The 13,918-nt window shown below is 57.4% G+C and overlaps 1 protein-coding gene across 16 annotated transcripts in view, besides 2 other annotated features; it reads right to left on the bottom strand.

Annotated features, from left to right (window-relative positions):
- The window catches only part of KDM4B (lysine demethylase 4B), a 184,486-nt gene that overhangs the window by 65,375 nt on the left and 105,193 nt on the right, over window positions 1–13,918 (bottom strand). For 14 of the 16 annotated variants that reach the window (XM_005259521.5, NM_015015.3, XM_011527814.3 and 11 more), the window contains 2 exons: window positions 10,754–10,857; window positions 5,720–5,857 (listed from right to left, as the gene is read on the bottom strand). In XM_005259521.5, the coding sequence (XP_005259578.2) occupies window positions 5,720–5,857; window positions 10,754–10,857 (242 nt within the window). Of the gene's footprint in view, window position 1; window positions 38–5,719; window positions 5,858–10,753; window positions 10,858–13,918 lie in introns of those variants that run through there. The other 2 variants (XM_011527822.3, XR_007066691.1) reach the window with 2 other exon arrangements.
- Window positions 652–946: a silencer, noted in NCBI's record as "tiled region #3293; K562 Repressive non-DNase unmatched - State 15:Elon". NCBI's record gives its function as "represses a minimal TATA promoter and a strong SV40 promoter by Sharpr-MPRA in K562 cells {active_cell/tissue: K562}" and the evidence as "EXISTENCE:reporter gene assay evidence [ECO:0000049][PMID:27701403]".
- Window positions 4,124–4,806: an enhancer, noted in NCBI's record as "H3K4me1 hESC enhancer chr19:5083429-5084111 (GRCh37/hg19 assembly coordinates)". NCBI's record gives its function as "activates a minimal SCP1, AML or CMV promoter by ChIP-STARR-seq in naive H9 embryonic stem cells {active_cell/tissue: H9 hESC(naive)}" and the evidence as "EXISTENCE:reporter gene assay evidence [ECO:0000049][PMID:30033119]".

Here is a 13,918-nt window from a genome sequence, read left to right as displayed (position 1 = left end):
CTGCAGGTGTGGACGGTCACCCTGAAAACGATGGGCCCTTGGGGGCCCTCAGATGCTCGGGCCTACCCGAGTCGGGGGGCACATCCCGCCCACGAGGAAACAGGCTCCCTCCTGCTCTCCGGCAGGCAGTGAACACAAGGAATGGGCTTCTCTCCCCACAGGTGGGCGTGAAGAGCAGGTTGGATAAGAACTTCTAGTTTCTGAGGGGAAAGCAACCTCCTGCCTGGCATTTAGCTCCCGAAAGACGTGAGATTCCTACACAGGAGACTTAAACCTGTGCTGCCCGGTGCCCTCACTCCCCAAACCCTCCGAACAGCCCAGCCCCCGTCCAGAGACTCGAGTGCAGTGAATGAAATCCCAGCCCCAAAGCCAGGGTCCATCCTCAAGGTGGGAGTCTGTCAGGCAAGGCAGAGAGTTTCATGGCTCTGAGATACTTAACACCTGTGTGCTTAAGAAACGTCGCACACCGAGGCTGCAGACCGCTGCAGAGCTCAGCCGCCTTAAGTTGGGAAAAAGTGGCACAGAGATGAGCAGCTCAAATGGAATACTCAGAGATGGGGGCCCTCAGCAGGAGAGGGGAGATGCTGGGAAACCTGGGCCTAGAAGGCCACACCAGCAGGGGAGTCAAAAATGACACTGGCACTACCTACCCCACCCCCCAGAAAGAGATGACTGACCTCGGAAGTGGCCCTGGGCAGCAGCTCTCACTGGGGCCAATCCTGCCTCCAAGGGACGCTGCAGGTGATGTCTGGGGACCTCTGTGGTTGTCACCACTGGGGTCCAAAGGTCACCAGCCCCGAGGGGAGCAGGTCCATGACACCAGGTTTCATAGGGGATGAGCAGGAGTGGAGAGCCGGGGGTGGGGACACAGCCGTACCTCCCCCACACAGACACACAGGGCCACCAGGCCTCCTCCTGCCCCGAGGGGCAATGACTATGTCACTGGCTGCACAGACAGGTGGCAAGGGTGAATGCCCACAGACCAGCTAGAAAGGAAAGACACCCACGGGAATAAATCCCACCCCCTCCTTGACAATGGCCTCCGTGTGCCCACGGCATTCTGCTGATGGGGAGTGAATGAGGCCGTGTTTAGGCCACAAGTGCCGGCCTGGGCTGCTCCATCCCACCTGTGAGCTCAGGCAGGCGCCAGCCCTGCTCTGCAGAAGACGGGAGGGGAGAGCCCCAGGCTGCCTCCTGTGTGTGCGCGCAGGGCCCTGGAAGCTCCACCCGGAGGCTCTGGTCCAAGGCTGTGTAAGTAGGTAAGCCACCTGCTGCAGGGAGATCGTATTTCTCTGGGATTTTACAGCCGGGGGAACCTTGGAGAGCTCTGCCCTGTGGGGGCAGACCTGGGCTGAGGGCTGGGCCTCCTGCCTGCCATGGGGCAGCCAGGGATGCTCCGCAGGCAGGTGGCAGCACATCTGTGGCAGTGGTCTGGCCTGCTCACGGCTGTAGCTGCTGCAGGCCCATCCGGAACTCCAGAGGGAGCTGCACTGGCTCGAGGTGTGGTGAGGCGGTGGGGGCCAACCTGCTTTCGGAGCAGCCCCTCTGCCCACAGAGGCCCTGGGGGCTGGGGGGGGGAGGAGGTGGCTGTCCTGCGAGCTGTGCAACCCCGCTGGCATCTGTAGACGGGGAGACAGGCTTCCCCTGCAAGGGCCAGGCAGCACACGCCTCTTGGCTTTTCGGAACTACTCAACTCCGCGGGGCGAAGCAGACGCAGACGCCACCTCCATGCCAGAGTGTGGCTCTGTGCACAGGCTGCTCATTTGTGGGTGAGATTTCAGTTTCGTCCGGCTGTCACAGGTCACACATCCTTTTAATTGCCCTCCTCCCACAACCCTGTGAAGACGTAAACCCCCTGCTCAGTTTGCAGACGGCACAGCGTCGGCCTACCAGATCCGAGCCCTAGCTTGCCAACCCGTGAACACAGACACCCAAAATTCACAGGGCCCGGCCAGGGCAGGAGGGTGGCTTTTCACCTGTCAGCTCCTGAGCACAAAAATGACAGAAAGGGGACAACGGGGTGGGGGGGGGCAGGGGTCCCTAGCGGTCAAGGAAGGTGAACAGCCAACAAGCAAAAATGTCTCTAAGCAAATCGAGGGGGTGGAAAGCCTCCTCTTTGGCTCTCTTCTGAAGAATGTGCTCAAAACAAAGTGGCCCGAAACGCAAATGGGACAGGGGAGCTGGGCCGGCCAGAGGGACACCAGAAAAGGGGGGTTCTGGGCTGCCCCTTCTCTCCAATCTGGCTGCACACAAGATCTGAACAAGGCCCGAGCCCCACCTGACCTGGGCCGTTTCCCTGCCTTCTAACACTCCTCTGTCATCTGTGCGGCGAGATGCTCTAACAGACTCTCCAGCCTGGGCTGCTTATGGGAGAGAAAACCCTGCCAGAGTCAGGGGCCGGCTGCCCCGCCAAGAAGCCTGAGAGCCACCGACCCCCCCGACGGCCACAGAGGCCTTGTGGCTAATGACACTCCCTGCGTAAGGCCCTCGCCGCCCAGGCCAGGCCTGACTACACCAGGGGTGCCTGAGCAGGGGCTGGGACAGCGGGGCTGGGGGGTCCAGGAGGAAGCCCAGGCCCTGGGCGCCTGCCTGGAACCCCTGGTGTGTTTCGAGCGCTGCACGCCACTTGCTACGCCGCCTGACAATGGAAGCGTGGAGCCCAATCTAAGTCTGCACTTCCCAAATGCCAACTTGTTTGTGAACACATGGCTGAACCCCAAATTGCTTTTAATATCTGGGCAGTCCCCACCGCCCCGCTGCAGTTTCAGCTCCGACAGCACCTCCAGGACAAGCCCGAGGCCTGGGGCTTACAGCTCAATCTGCTGCTGGGCTGGTCACAACACCCGTGGTGTCCTCACGGCAGCACAAACACACAGACACATGCCCTTTCAACACAGCAACAGCCCTGAGATACTTAACTACTCCTTTAGATCAAAAAGCTGAAATCCCAACTTCTGGATCTCTCTTCCTTTAGCTAAGCCCAGAGTCTTCACTAGAGACATTCGAGACTTTCTGAACTGAGTCCTGGGGGCATCTCTCAAGCCTTCCCTGCTGTAGACCCCTGTTCTTTTTCTAAACTGGATTGAAGGCAGAGAAACAGCCAGAAAAATAAAGGTTAGCTCATTCGTCCAGACCGGCGTGGCCAGGAGAGATGTCACACAGGCCACCTATGCTGCCTCCATTTTCCCAGTAGCCAGGAGAAAAAAGCAAAAAGAGGTGGTGTGCTGTGGTGGCTCGCGCCTGTAATCCCAGCACTTTTCGAGGCCGAGGTGGGTGGATCACTTGAGCCCAGGAGTTCCAGACCAGCCTGGCCAACATATTAAGACCCTGTCTCTATAAAAGGGTGGGCCGGGGCGGCGGGCGGGGGAGGGTGGGTAAAATGAAACAGGTGAAATTCATTTTTTTTCTTTGAGACGGGTCCTCACTCTGTTGCCCAGGCTCGAGTGCAGTGGTGCAATCATAGCTCAGGGATGCCTTGACCTCCTGGGCTCAAGAGATCCTCCCGCCTCAGCCTCCCAAAGGGCTGAGATTATAGGCGTGAAGCCATCATGTCCGGCCAAAATCCATCTTAATTATACATACATATATAATTTATATATATAAATTATGTTATATATATAATTTATATAATTTATATTTATATATAATACATATAATTTATATAATTTATATATTATATATAATATATAAATAACATATATAATTTATATTTATATATAATATATAAATTATAACATATATAATTTATATTTATATATAATATATAAATTATTATAACATATATAATTTATATTTATATATATAAATTATGTAATTTATATAATTTATTTTATATAAATATACAATATATAAATTATATACAATATATAAATTACATACAATATATAAATTATATACAATATATAAATTATACATAATATATAAATTATATATAACATATAAATTACATATATAATATATAAATACGTATTTTTTTTTGAGACAGTTTCGCTCTTGTTGCCCAGGCTGGAGTACCAGGGCACAATCTCAGCTCACTGCAACCTCCACCTCCCGGGTTCAAGTGATTCTCCTGCCTCAGTCTCCCAAGTAGCTGGGATTATAGGTGCCCACCACCATGCCTGGATAATTTTTGTGTTTTTAGTAGAGACAGGGTTTCACCATGTTGGCCAGGCTGGTCTCAAACTCCTGACCTCAAATGATCCGCCCACCTCTGCCTCCCAAAGTGCTAGGATTACAGGCATAAGCCACCGCACCAGGCCAAGGTCTGACATCTAGAAAATGCTGCGAGAGTCAAAGAATCCGGATCTGGCCCTGTGGTCTCTCCTATCACACCTCCCCCACATCTGGATCTGAGAAGAATCTGCCATTTGTGCTGACCCCGGCTCTGGAGGAACTGGAAGGCTCTGCACTGGGAGGGACGATGGGAGGAAGTACCTGCTCTCACCCTGGCCAGCCCGCTGCCCGTCCTGCTGCATCACGAGCAGCCACATGACCCCAAACCAGAGGGAGACGCCGGGAGGGGCTGAGGCTGAGGCTGTCTCTGCGGGGAAGACAGAGGGGCTGGGAGGAGCTGGGCTGTTCAATGCTGCCCAGAAACAGCAGCCCTGAGCCAGGGCCACGTGGCCGAGCCTGGCCTGCCGGGACAGCTCAGTCCTACTTGGGGGCAGCCAGGAAAAGCACGCAGGGGACTTCAGGGACAGCCCTGGGAGGAGGCTCCCCAGCCCCCAGCTCCAGACAGGCAGCCAGGAAAGGGCTAGACCTGTGATGCCCAGACGGCCTCCTAGCTGCTTCCCTTCCCGGGTCCCACACTCCCCTTTCTGAGGCTTAGGATTCATAAGCCCCGTCCACGTCCCCGTCACTGGGACCCCAAGGCAGAGACCATGGGGGAGGGGGTGGCCAGCCAAGGCGACCCCGTCCCACCCGTGCCCAGCAGCAGCTCTTGTGGGCTTCCTATCCATCCAGTAGCCTCCCACACCCTCCGCATGGTCGAGAACAGCCACACAGATGGCTGTACGTGGCGTTAGGAGAGTGGGGAACAAGCGCTCAGTTCAGACGCCAATTGCTGGCCAATAATCGGCCTTCTGAGACCAGGAACGAGAATCACCAGAAAAAAATCAAGCAAGGGCCACTCACTGTGAGTCTTCCCACGGGCATGCTAAGCTCACCGTGACCTCCAGGGACCCCACCAGCAGGAAGCACCCAGGCACTGGGAGCTGGGGGACTGCCACTGACAGGGGAGCAGGGAGGGAGGGGGGCAGATGCCTGAGTGGGCTCCTGCCTGGCCAAGCGGCCCCCAGGAGAGAGATGTCAGCAAACAACCCAACCCCAGGACCATGATGGCCAGGAGATGCCCAGGAGCCAGCCAGCAGGGGGGACAATGGTGCTGGTGGAGGAAACACCCCAACCCCTAGACCCGAGCAGCCGGCCATGCCCAGGAGGCCCACGCAGGCCGAGGGATAACTGGTGTATGGAACTCGCTGGAGATGGGCCCTGGGCCACCATCGTCCACCCGACCTGCCCACCTCCTCTCCAGTCTTCGAGGTAAGGAGCGTTCTGGGCAAAAGCTCTCTGAGGAGCCCAGAATCAGACCCTGGTTGAGAGCCCAGGCCCTGGGCTGAGCGAAACGGCTGCTGGACCAGCTATGGGCGTGTGGCTGCAGAGGCAAAAAAGAGCCTCCTCCCGCCCTGCTGGGACCCGTTCCCAGCAGGCAAGCTTTTACCTGAGTGGCCACTTTGCCGTAGTCAATCCACCGCAGGGTGGCGAAGTTGGTAGATTCTGCGCAGTTGAACCCGTGATTGAAGCCGGCGTGGTAGCCGTAGGGAAATGTGATCATGAATTCCCCGGCCTCCTGCGTGATCTGCAGAGGGAAAGGAGACAGGTGAGGGCAGGGCCACCAGAGGCGCACCAGGGGATGGGACGTGGGCACTTCCCAGCAAGTGCCAGGGAGCCTGGCTTATGAGCCAAGGGGGTTTCACAAAGTCAAAGGTGATCCAGCGGCTCCAGGGGCTCCAGGGCTCCAGCCCATTTCCCACGCGGCTCATGAAGGACATAGTGAGCAGCCGCAGCCACAGCTCTGCAACCTCCACTCGGCTCAGCCGGGCCCCTCCAGCCCCAGCAGCCCCTGCCCTGCCCCAAGGCGGCCGTCAGCATCACCCCAGTGGGAGAACCGCAGATGGAGCCGTGGCTGGACACAATGCCCGTGGGGGTGTCTCCAGCCGGACCTTCATGGGGAGCGATGGGGGCCTCCTGCTTTGGAGGTGGCTGAGTCACACTCACAGTCACTGTGACATGTCCTGAAGCAGCTGGGGCTGGTTTCGGGGCGGGTGGTGCTGACAGCAGCTTTAGAGTGCTCTGAAGACAAGACACTGCACGCGCTCAGGACACCTTCTGCCCTCGCATGAGAAAGGAACCACCACTGCACGCGCAAAACACGCCAGGAAGGGGCCTGCGACACGCCGCCATCCCAAGCCATCTTTCAATTGTATCTCAACAAGGGGATCTCCATGAAGTCATGGAGATCCAGAAATATCTGCACACCGGGGGCATGACCTGACACCACAGATCAGCACCCTGGAGAGCGGGCCAATGCTTCCAGACCCAGGTCCAATTCGGATGTTCGGCCCATTCGACTTTGCAGGTCTCTGAAGCAGGACCCCCTAAACTGAGGAGCCGAGGCGTGCGTGGCTGGGGTGGGGCCCACAATGACCCCAGACCCAAGGTTTCCCAACAGCCACCCCAAGGTCTGGAAGAAAAGGCAGGGCTGCCTACCAGGGCTGGGGGGCTACAGCCTTGTGCCCTAGGAACCCTCCCCACTCTGGGGACACTCGAGATGGCCACACTGACCCCCACTCCCTGCTCACTGCTAAGCCCGTTGATAAAGCCTTTGAAAGACGACCATCCAGAAAGATCAACAACAAATTTGGAGTGATGGCTCCCACCTGCTGCACCCCGGGGCTCAGGCCAAGGGCTTCTAGGAGGTGGGGCTGTGGGCCCAATCCACAGACGTGGAAACTGAGGCTCATGAACTAGAATCCTTGAAGTCAAGTGGGCTCCTCATCTTTATTTAACATCCAGTAAAACGCAGGGATCACAGGCTGCTCGGAGTTCTGGGCGTAACCACTGATCCAGACAGGAACAAAACATGCCGGGCCCCCAGGCACCCCTCCTACCAGCCCTCTACCAGGCCATCCCCACCGAACCACGCACGCGCTCTCAGTCACCACAGACCTCGTTCCCTCCTAGTGGTTCACATGAATGGCGTTGTACGGCAGGGACACGTGCCTGTTGTCTTCCACCTGGCGTGCGTTTCTGAGATTTGTTCCCACTGTCCTGTGCACCAGGCGACCGCTCCTTTTCATTTCTAAACAGTACTCGGTTGCGCGTGGATCTATGGTTATTTATTTATCTATCCTCCTGTTGATGGACGTGCGGGCTGTTTCCAGTTTGGGGCTCTCGTGAAGAAAACTGCTAAGAACACTTATGTACCAATCTTTCTGGAGACATATGTTTTCATTTCTCCTGAGTAAATATGCACAGAGTGGCATCGCTGGGGCACAGGGTACATGCTTCCGTTTCCAAGAAAATGCCGAACGGTTTTCCATGGCCATGGCACCGCCCTGCATCCACCCCGGCTGGGAGCAGCGTGCAGCTGCGCCCTCCTCACTGGCATCTGGTGGCGGTGTTCTGACGTGGCCGTCCTGGGGCTGGCGGTGTCTCCCAGCTGGCTGCCTCTGACTTCTACCGATGCTGGGCACTGAACCATGGCTTTCGTTCCTGCAGCTCCTTCGTAACGCGTCTGCTCAAGCCCCTCACGCCGAATTCATCGGGCCATTTGTTTTCTTATCTCTGATTTGTAGGAGTTCTCAGGCCTGCTGATCATTATATATTCCCCCAGAAAGATGAGCAGAGATTGCTGGATACACTGAAGTCGCCAATAAGCCATCAGAACTGGTGAGGCTTTCAGAAGCCAGCCACGGCGTCAGACATCAATCAAAACTGACACAGCTTGGAAAAATGCCAGTCCTTAAGAACACTGTGATATTTTTCTTTTCAAATAATTAATTGCACCAATCAAGGGAAGTCAGTGTGCATTAAGTTATATTTTTAAATTCCCATTCAAGTGACAGCCACGTGCAGCAGAACGAGCACGCGGCAGAAAATAGGGGTGGGGGGGGAACACACGTGGCCCCAGGGCCTGGCCCCCGCCGTGCAGGACATGGGGTCCCCAAGGGCTGGCCCTCACTGTGCAGGACGTGGGGTTCTCTGGGCCAGCTTCTCCCCACTACGCTGGGAGCTCCGTGAAATGAGGGGCAAATAAAATTAAGGTTTGGGGCTTTTTAAAAAAAAACCTAATTACTGGGCCGGGCATGGTGCTCACACCTGTAATCCCAGCATTTTGGGAGGCCAAGACAAGAGAAACACTTATGCCCAGGAGCTTGAGACCAGCCTGGACAACAGAGTGAGACCCCATCTCTAGAAAAAAAGAAAAGTTAAGAAAGTAAAGTAAATGCCATTACTGATTCCTTTATCCTATTTGAGCCGGCTTCGGAAAGGCTTTTCCCTGACCACCTGCTCTAAGGCCAAGTGACGGCTCCCTGTCTCTCCCCTGGAGAACCAGGCCTGCAGGCATGCGTCAGGCAGACATCAGACTCAGAGCCTTCAGGGATCCAGCTGGGCCCCCGGAATGCCAAGATTGAATGGGGGTGATGGCAGCAGAGAGCCAAGCTCTCACAGTGTAAGGACCTCACTCCCCCAGCCCTCCTATGAACCAAGGCCTAGAAGAGAAAATGTGCTCGGTTAGGACAAGAAGATTATGTTCCTGCGAGAAAACCTGCATCCTGGTGGCTTCGTTCCACACTCACGGTGTCTGTCCCCTGTGTCACTGCTGTCAACATTATCCAACAATCAATTAGAAGGCGTTGGGATGATGAATAGGCTTTGCGGCAAAGTCATCAGTGGTGACAGGACGCGGCCCCAGACACCAGGCACGGAGAAAGCCCGGAACTCGGTTTCCTCTGCGAGCTCTTGCAGAATAAATGAGGGAGTCAATGGCAGATTACAGAAGTACACACTTTTAATTATTAAAAAGCTCTGCTATTGATCGGCTTTTTCTCCTAGAAGTAAATACCATTACAAAGATTTATAAGGGGAGTGTGGGGAGTCACTTGTTTGAAGGCTGCCAGGAATTCAGATGAGGGGACCCACGCTGCTGTCTGGAAGGGACGTTCATCTCAAGCCCATGGCGTCTGAGAGGCTGAAGGACGGTCCCCAGGCCGGGCGGCACAGGGTGCTGTTCGCTGCAGTGGGACAGGGGCCTTCACTGTGGCAGCCTCTGGAGAAACTGGCGCCCGGCCCCAGCAACCAGCTGGCGGTGTTGGGGAGCGCAGCCGTACTGCCTGGACCCCGCCTGCTACCATGCATGGTGCCAGCAGCCGCTCTGAGGCTGGTGGTGAGCCACCTTTGGCTCAGGTTCAGGAACTTTACAGATAAACTGCAGTGCGATACAGATGCTGACCTGGGAGTCCAGGCCACTCACTGCCTGCCCACCCCTTCGATGGGCACCCCCCTCCAGGAAGCACCACTTTGGAGAAGGTTTTAGACAAACCAGCCAGAAAATCAGTACTTCTCACTTCCCTGAGCAATGCCGTGATCTGTCTGGTTTTGCTGGTACTGAATGATGTTCCAACCAGAAGACGGGGGAGAAGAGGAAAGGCCGGAAATGCGCACTTCTCCGAGCGAGATCTGTGCTGTCTGATGAATGCCTGCAGCGGCTGGGAGGCGGCCTCTGGGTTGCAGCCCCGCCAGGAAGAGCGGATCCCCGATGTGTGAGCTGATGCTTTGGCGGTTTGATTGAAATGTCACAAGCAATTTCCGGCTGGCTGACACTCAGGGCCTCACCACAGAGCACGCTCCCGAGCCTGCACATCACTCTTCCCGTGGAACCTCATGAGCTGGGCTGCGGCCCAGACCTGCCTTGCAGGTTCTTGGCACGTGCCTCTCACCTGGACAGAGCTGGGGACACAGGCCTAGACTCTCCCATGGACAAAGGCTTCTCCATGGGGAAGGAACTGCCTCGAGTGGGTGCAGTTGCTGAGCTGGACCCTGAGCACAGCCTGCTCTGCTCCTGGGACACCAAACCCCAGCTGTCCATCAAATCAGGTGTAGGGAGGCCCCACCCCCCGGCCTCAGGTCTCCTCCATCACAGCCTCCACCAGCAGCCCCTGAAGCAGTGAACTGAATGAGTTCACAGTCTTCACGGTGCAGGAGAGCCCGAAATGTCACTTCTAAACAGGCAGTTCTCTCCACGGCCGGGTGACATGGGCCGTGGGGGTGCCTGAGACTTAGGGTGTGGCCTGGGGCGGTAGGAACCAGGTTCCCACCTTGCACGGGACGAGGGGCCCTGCCCTCTGTTTCTTTGGCAGCTTCCTGCCAGGTCAGCAGGGCCTGCCCCTGCCCTTCCACCCCTGCAGCCCCTGCGGAGGGGCCTCTGATGGCCACACCCAGGAGGAAGTTTTGGTTTGGTTTGGGAGGGGAGGTTAACACCCCGCCAGATTCAAGCTCTGCCATCTTCGCTTCCCCGTGGAAGAGCTGGAGGCTAACTGCTGAGCCATGCGGCCCTCCTCTGGCATGCTAATCACTGTTCTAGAAACTTCTCCAGGGTTAAACAGCTTATCTCCTGGGGTATGTGCGGCCACCTGGGCTTGGACCCGGTACCCACTTCACCCACAGGCGTGCAGGCCCCACCCGTACGCACCCGGCTGAAGGGGATCCCGTACTTCTTCAGGATGATGGGCGAGATGAGGGTCATCTTATGCCGCAGGAAGGCGTCGCAGCCCTGCGAGCTCCCGGGGAAGAAGCCTAGGGCCGAAAAGACAGACGTCAGTCTCCTGGGCCACAGCCGGCCGGGGTCAGCGAGGATGCTGCCCTCTGGGCAGGCTGGCTCTTTCCTCCCATGGAGAGCGGGCGTGTGGGAGCACAGAGCACGGCCCAGATCTGCCCTTGGTTCTCAGGGCCCCAGTGCCTGCAGGTCGGGGGGAAGGAGATGCGCAGGAGCCGCCCCATAGTGCCCTGCTGTGAGCTCTGCAGGTGGCAGACAGTGGTGACACCCTCTGGCCTCTGCGCAGTGACCATGTGAGCAGATGCCTGGTCTCGTCTCTGCCCAGCAGCAGGGGCAGCCAAGGGCCTCCTCACCAGGGGAAGGACCAGGGTTACTTGTGTGACAAGGTGCCCACCCATGGCATACACTTGGGTCCCTCACAGGGCACGGCTATGCAGAGACTTCTCCTCCGACCTCCCCAGACAAAATCCACCAGACCACAGCCCACACAGTCGCTCGGTCAATGAGAGAGCACGATCCTGGGGAGAGGACACGGTGTGGCCGCTCTCGTCACTCGGTCAACGAGACAACATGACCCTGGGGAAAGGACGCAGCGTGGCCGCTCTCGTCACTCGGTCAACGAGACAACACGACCCTGGGGAAAGGACACAGGGTGGCCGCCCTCGTCACTCGGTCAACGAGAGAGCACAACCCTGGGGAAAGGACGCAGTGTGGCCGCTCTCATCACTCATTCAACGAGAGAGCACGACCCTGGGGAAAGGATGCAGTGTGGCCGCTCTCGTCACTCGGTCAACGAGAGAGCACAACCCTGGGGAAAGGACGCAGTGTGGCCGCTCTCATCACTCGGTCAACGAGAGAGCACGACCCTGGGGAAAGGATGCAGTGTGGCCGCTCTCGTCACTCAGTCAACGAGAGAGCACGACCCTGGGGAAAGGACGCAGTGTGGCCGCTCTCGTCACTCAGTCAACGAGAGAGCACGACCCTGGGGAAAGGATGCAGTGTGGCCGCTCTCGTCACTCAGTCAACGAGAGAGCACGACCCTGGGGAAAGGATGCAGTGTGGCCGCTCTCGTCACTCAGTCAACGAGAGAGCACGACCCTGGGGAAAGGATGCAGTGTGGCCGCTCTCGTCACTCGGTCAACGAGAGAGCACGACCCTGGGGAAAGGACGCAGTGTGGCCGCTCTCGTCACTCGGTCAACGAGAGAGCACGACCCTGGGGAAAGGATGCAGTGTGGCCGCTCTCGTCACTCGGTCAACGAGAGAGCACGACCCTGGGGAAAGGACGCAGTGTGGCCGCTCTCGTCACTCAGTCAACGAGAGAGCACGACCCTGGGGAAAGGACGCAGTGTGGCCGCTCTCCTCTCGGAGCTGATGTTCTAGAACCAGACCAGCCAGGGACGGTGAGGAGTTAGCAGTGCTGCCTCCCCCTTGGGCACCTGCTTTCAAGGCCATGAATGAGACTGTGCACCTGCCCCCCCACACAGCACAGCGGGTGTCCTCACTGTCACTGCACAGGTGAGGAAATCGAGGCCCGGGCCACCAACTGACTCACCCTCGGCCCCAGCACCACCAGGAAGTGGCAGAGTGGGCCTGACCCCGAGCTGTGGTCAGAGCTCACAACCTCTTCCTGTTGGGCCGTGCTCAGCATGGTGGGCTGCGTACATGTGTGTGGGGCTGTCTGTCTAGGAGTGCGCTCTGCAGCTGACTTAAAGCAGCGCCTGGGAAACAGGCACTCACACCAGCAGCTTGGCGCCTTCACAAACCTCACAGCCAGGCTGGGCGCGGTGGCTCACACAGGGAATCTCAGCACTTTGGGAGGCCGAGGCAGGTAGATGGATCTCTTGAGGCCAAGAGTTGGAGACCAGCCTGGCCAACATCACAAGACCCCATCTCTACAAAAATAAAAATAAAAATAAAAAATAAACCAAGCTTCCTAATTAGCACAGTTCAGGAATGTTTCCAAATCACAAGGTGAAGACCCGTGCATTTGGCGGGTAAGGTAAGGATGCCCCGGCTTCCCGGCAGCAGCTGCTGAGGCCCACGCCCCTCAGTGTGCAACACAATCCCTGTGCCAAAGGGACTTCCCTGAAGCAGCCGGGCCCCCGGAACCAACACCAGGGGAGCCAGACGGGCCCAAGCCAGGAAGAGCAGTTCAGGGAGGGGACTTACCGCCTCATCTCGGGCACTTCCTGCTCCACCACCCACTCTGCAAGTGGCAACGGGCAGGAGGCCGGCCCAGGAGGCAGGAGGACGGGGGTCAGATGTGGACCAGGAGGGGCACTCCCGGGTGAAGCCCGGCTCCAGCACAGACTGCGGAGACTAGGACCTGCTCCCCAACAGGGCTGCCGGCTCTCTCCCGGCTGCGCCTGCGTCCCCTGCCCTGTGACGGTAGAGAGGTACTGCCATGTGGACGACAGAGGTGTGGGGTGTCACGCCTGCAGCAGACAGGAAGCCCACAGGCGTCCACCTCCTGCCAGGACTGACCAACAGCCTCGGCCAGCCCGAGGGCCCTTCTAGAAGCCTGCACAGACCTCAAGCGCCTCCAGGACGGGACACACACCCATTGGGTCATTGGTGGAAGGCGGCACAGCTGTGTGCGAGAGCACCAGCACACGGAGGCCCAGGCGCACGGGGAGGCGGGAGAGCGGGGCCACGGTGCTTCTGCTGACACCCAGCCACGCAGACACCACGGTGAGGTTTTGCAAAGTACAGGGGTTTGCCGAATCCAGCAACTTTTCTCCACACTAAAAGCATTTCAACGAGAATGATGACTGCCTGCCGCCCGGCCTGCCGGCGGCCTCTCCGCAGTTCCTCTTTTTAATGCACAGTTTAAGTGGCTCTCATTAAAGCTCTAACAAAGGCGCACATTTTAAGTGATTAGCACCAATAAGGCGCCAGCACATTAATGCTCTCTCCATAGGCTCCACAACTCTCCCGGTGAGCCCATTTGGAGCACAGCTATTCATTTTCCATATTACTCGCACACCCCTTCCACCGTCCCAACGATGGAACACATCGCCTGCCCCAAAAAGAGTCTGGGAGGGGCACCTAGGAACACAAGGGGGGTCGGGTAGGCTTTC

The sequence above is a fragment of the Homo sapiens genome, chromosome 19 (assembly GCF_000001405.40).
Source record: "Homo sapiens chromosome 19, GRCh38.p14 Primary Assembly".
Classification (NCBI taxonomy): Eukaryota; Metazoa; Chordata; class Mammalia; order Primates; family Hominidae; genus Homo; species Homo sapiens.
This window is presented reverse-complemented; position numbering and strand designations above follow the sequence as displayed.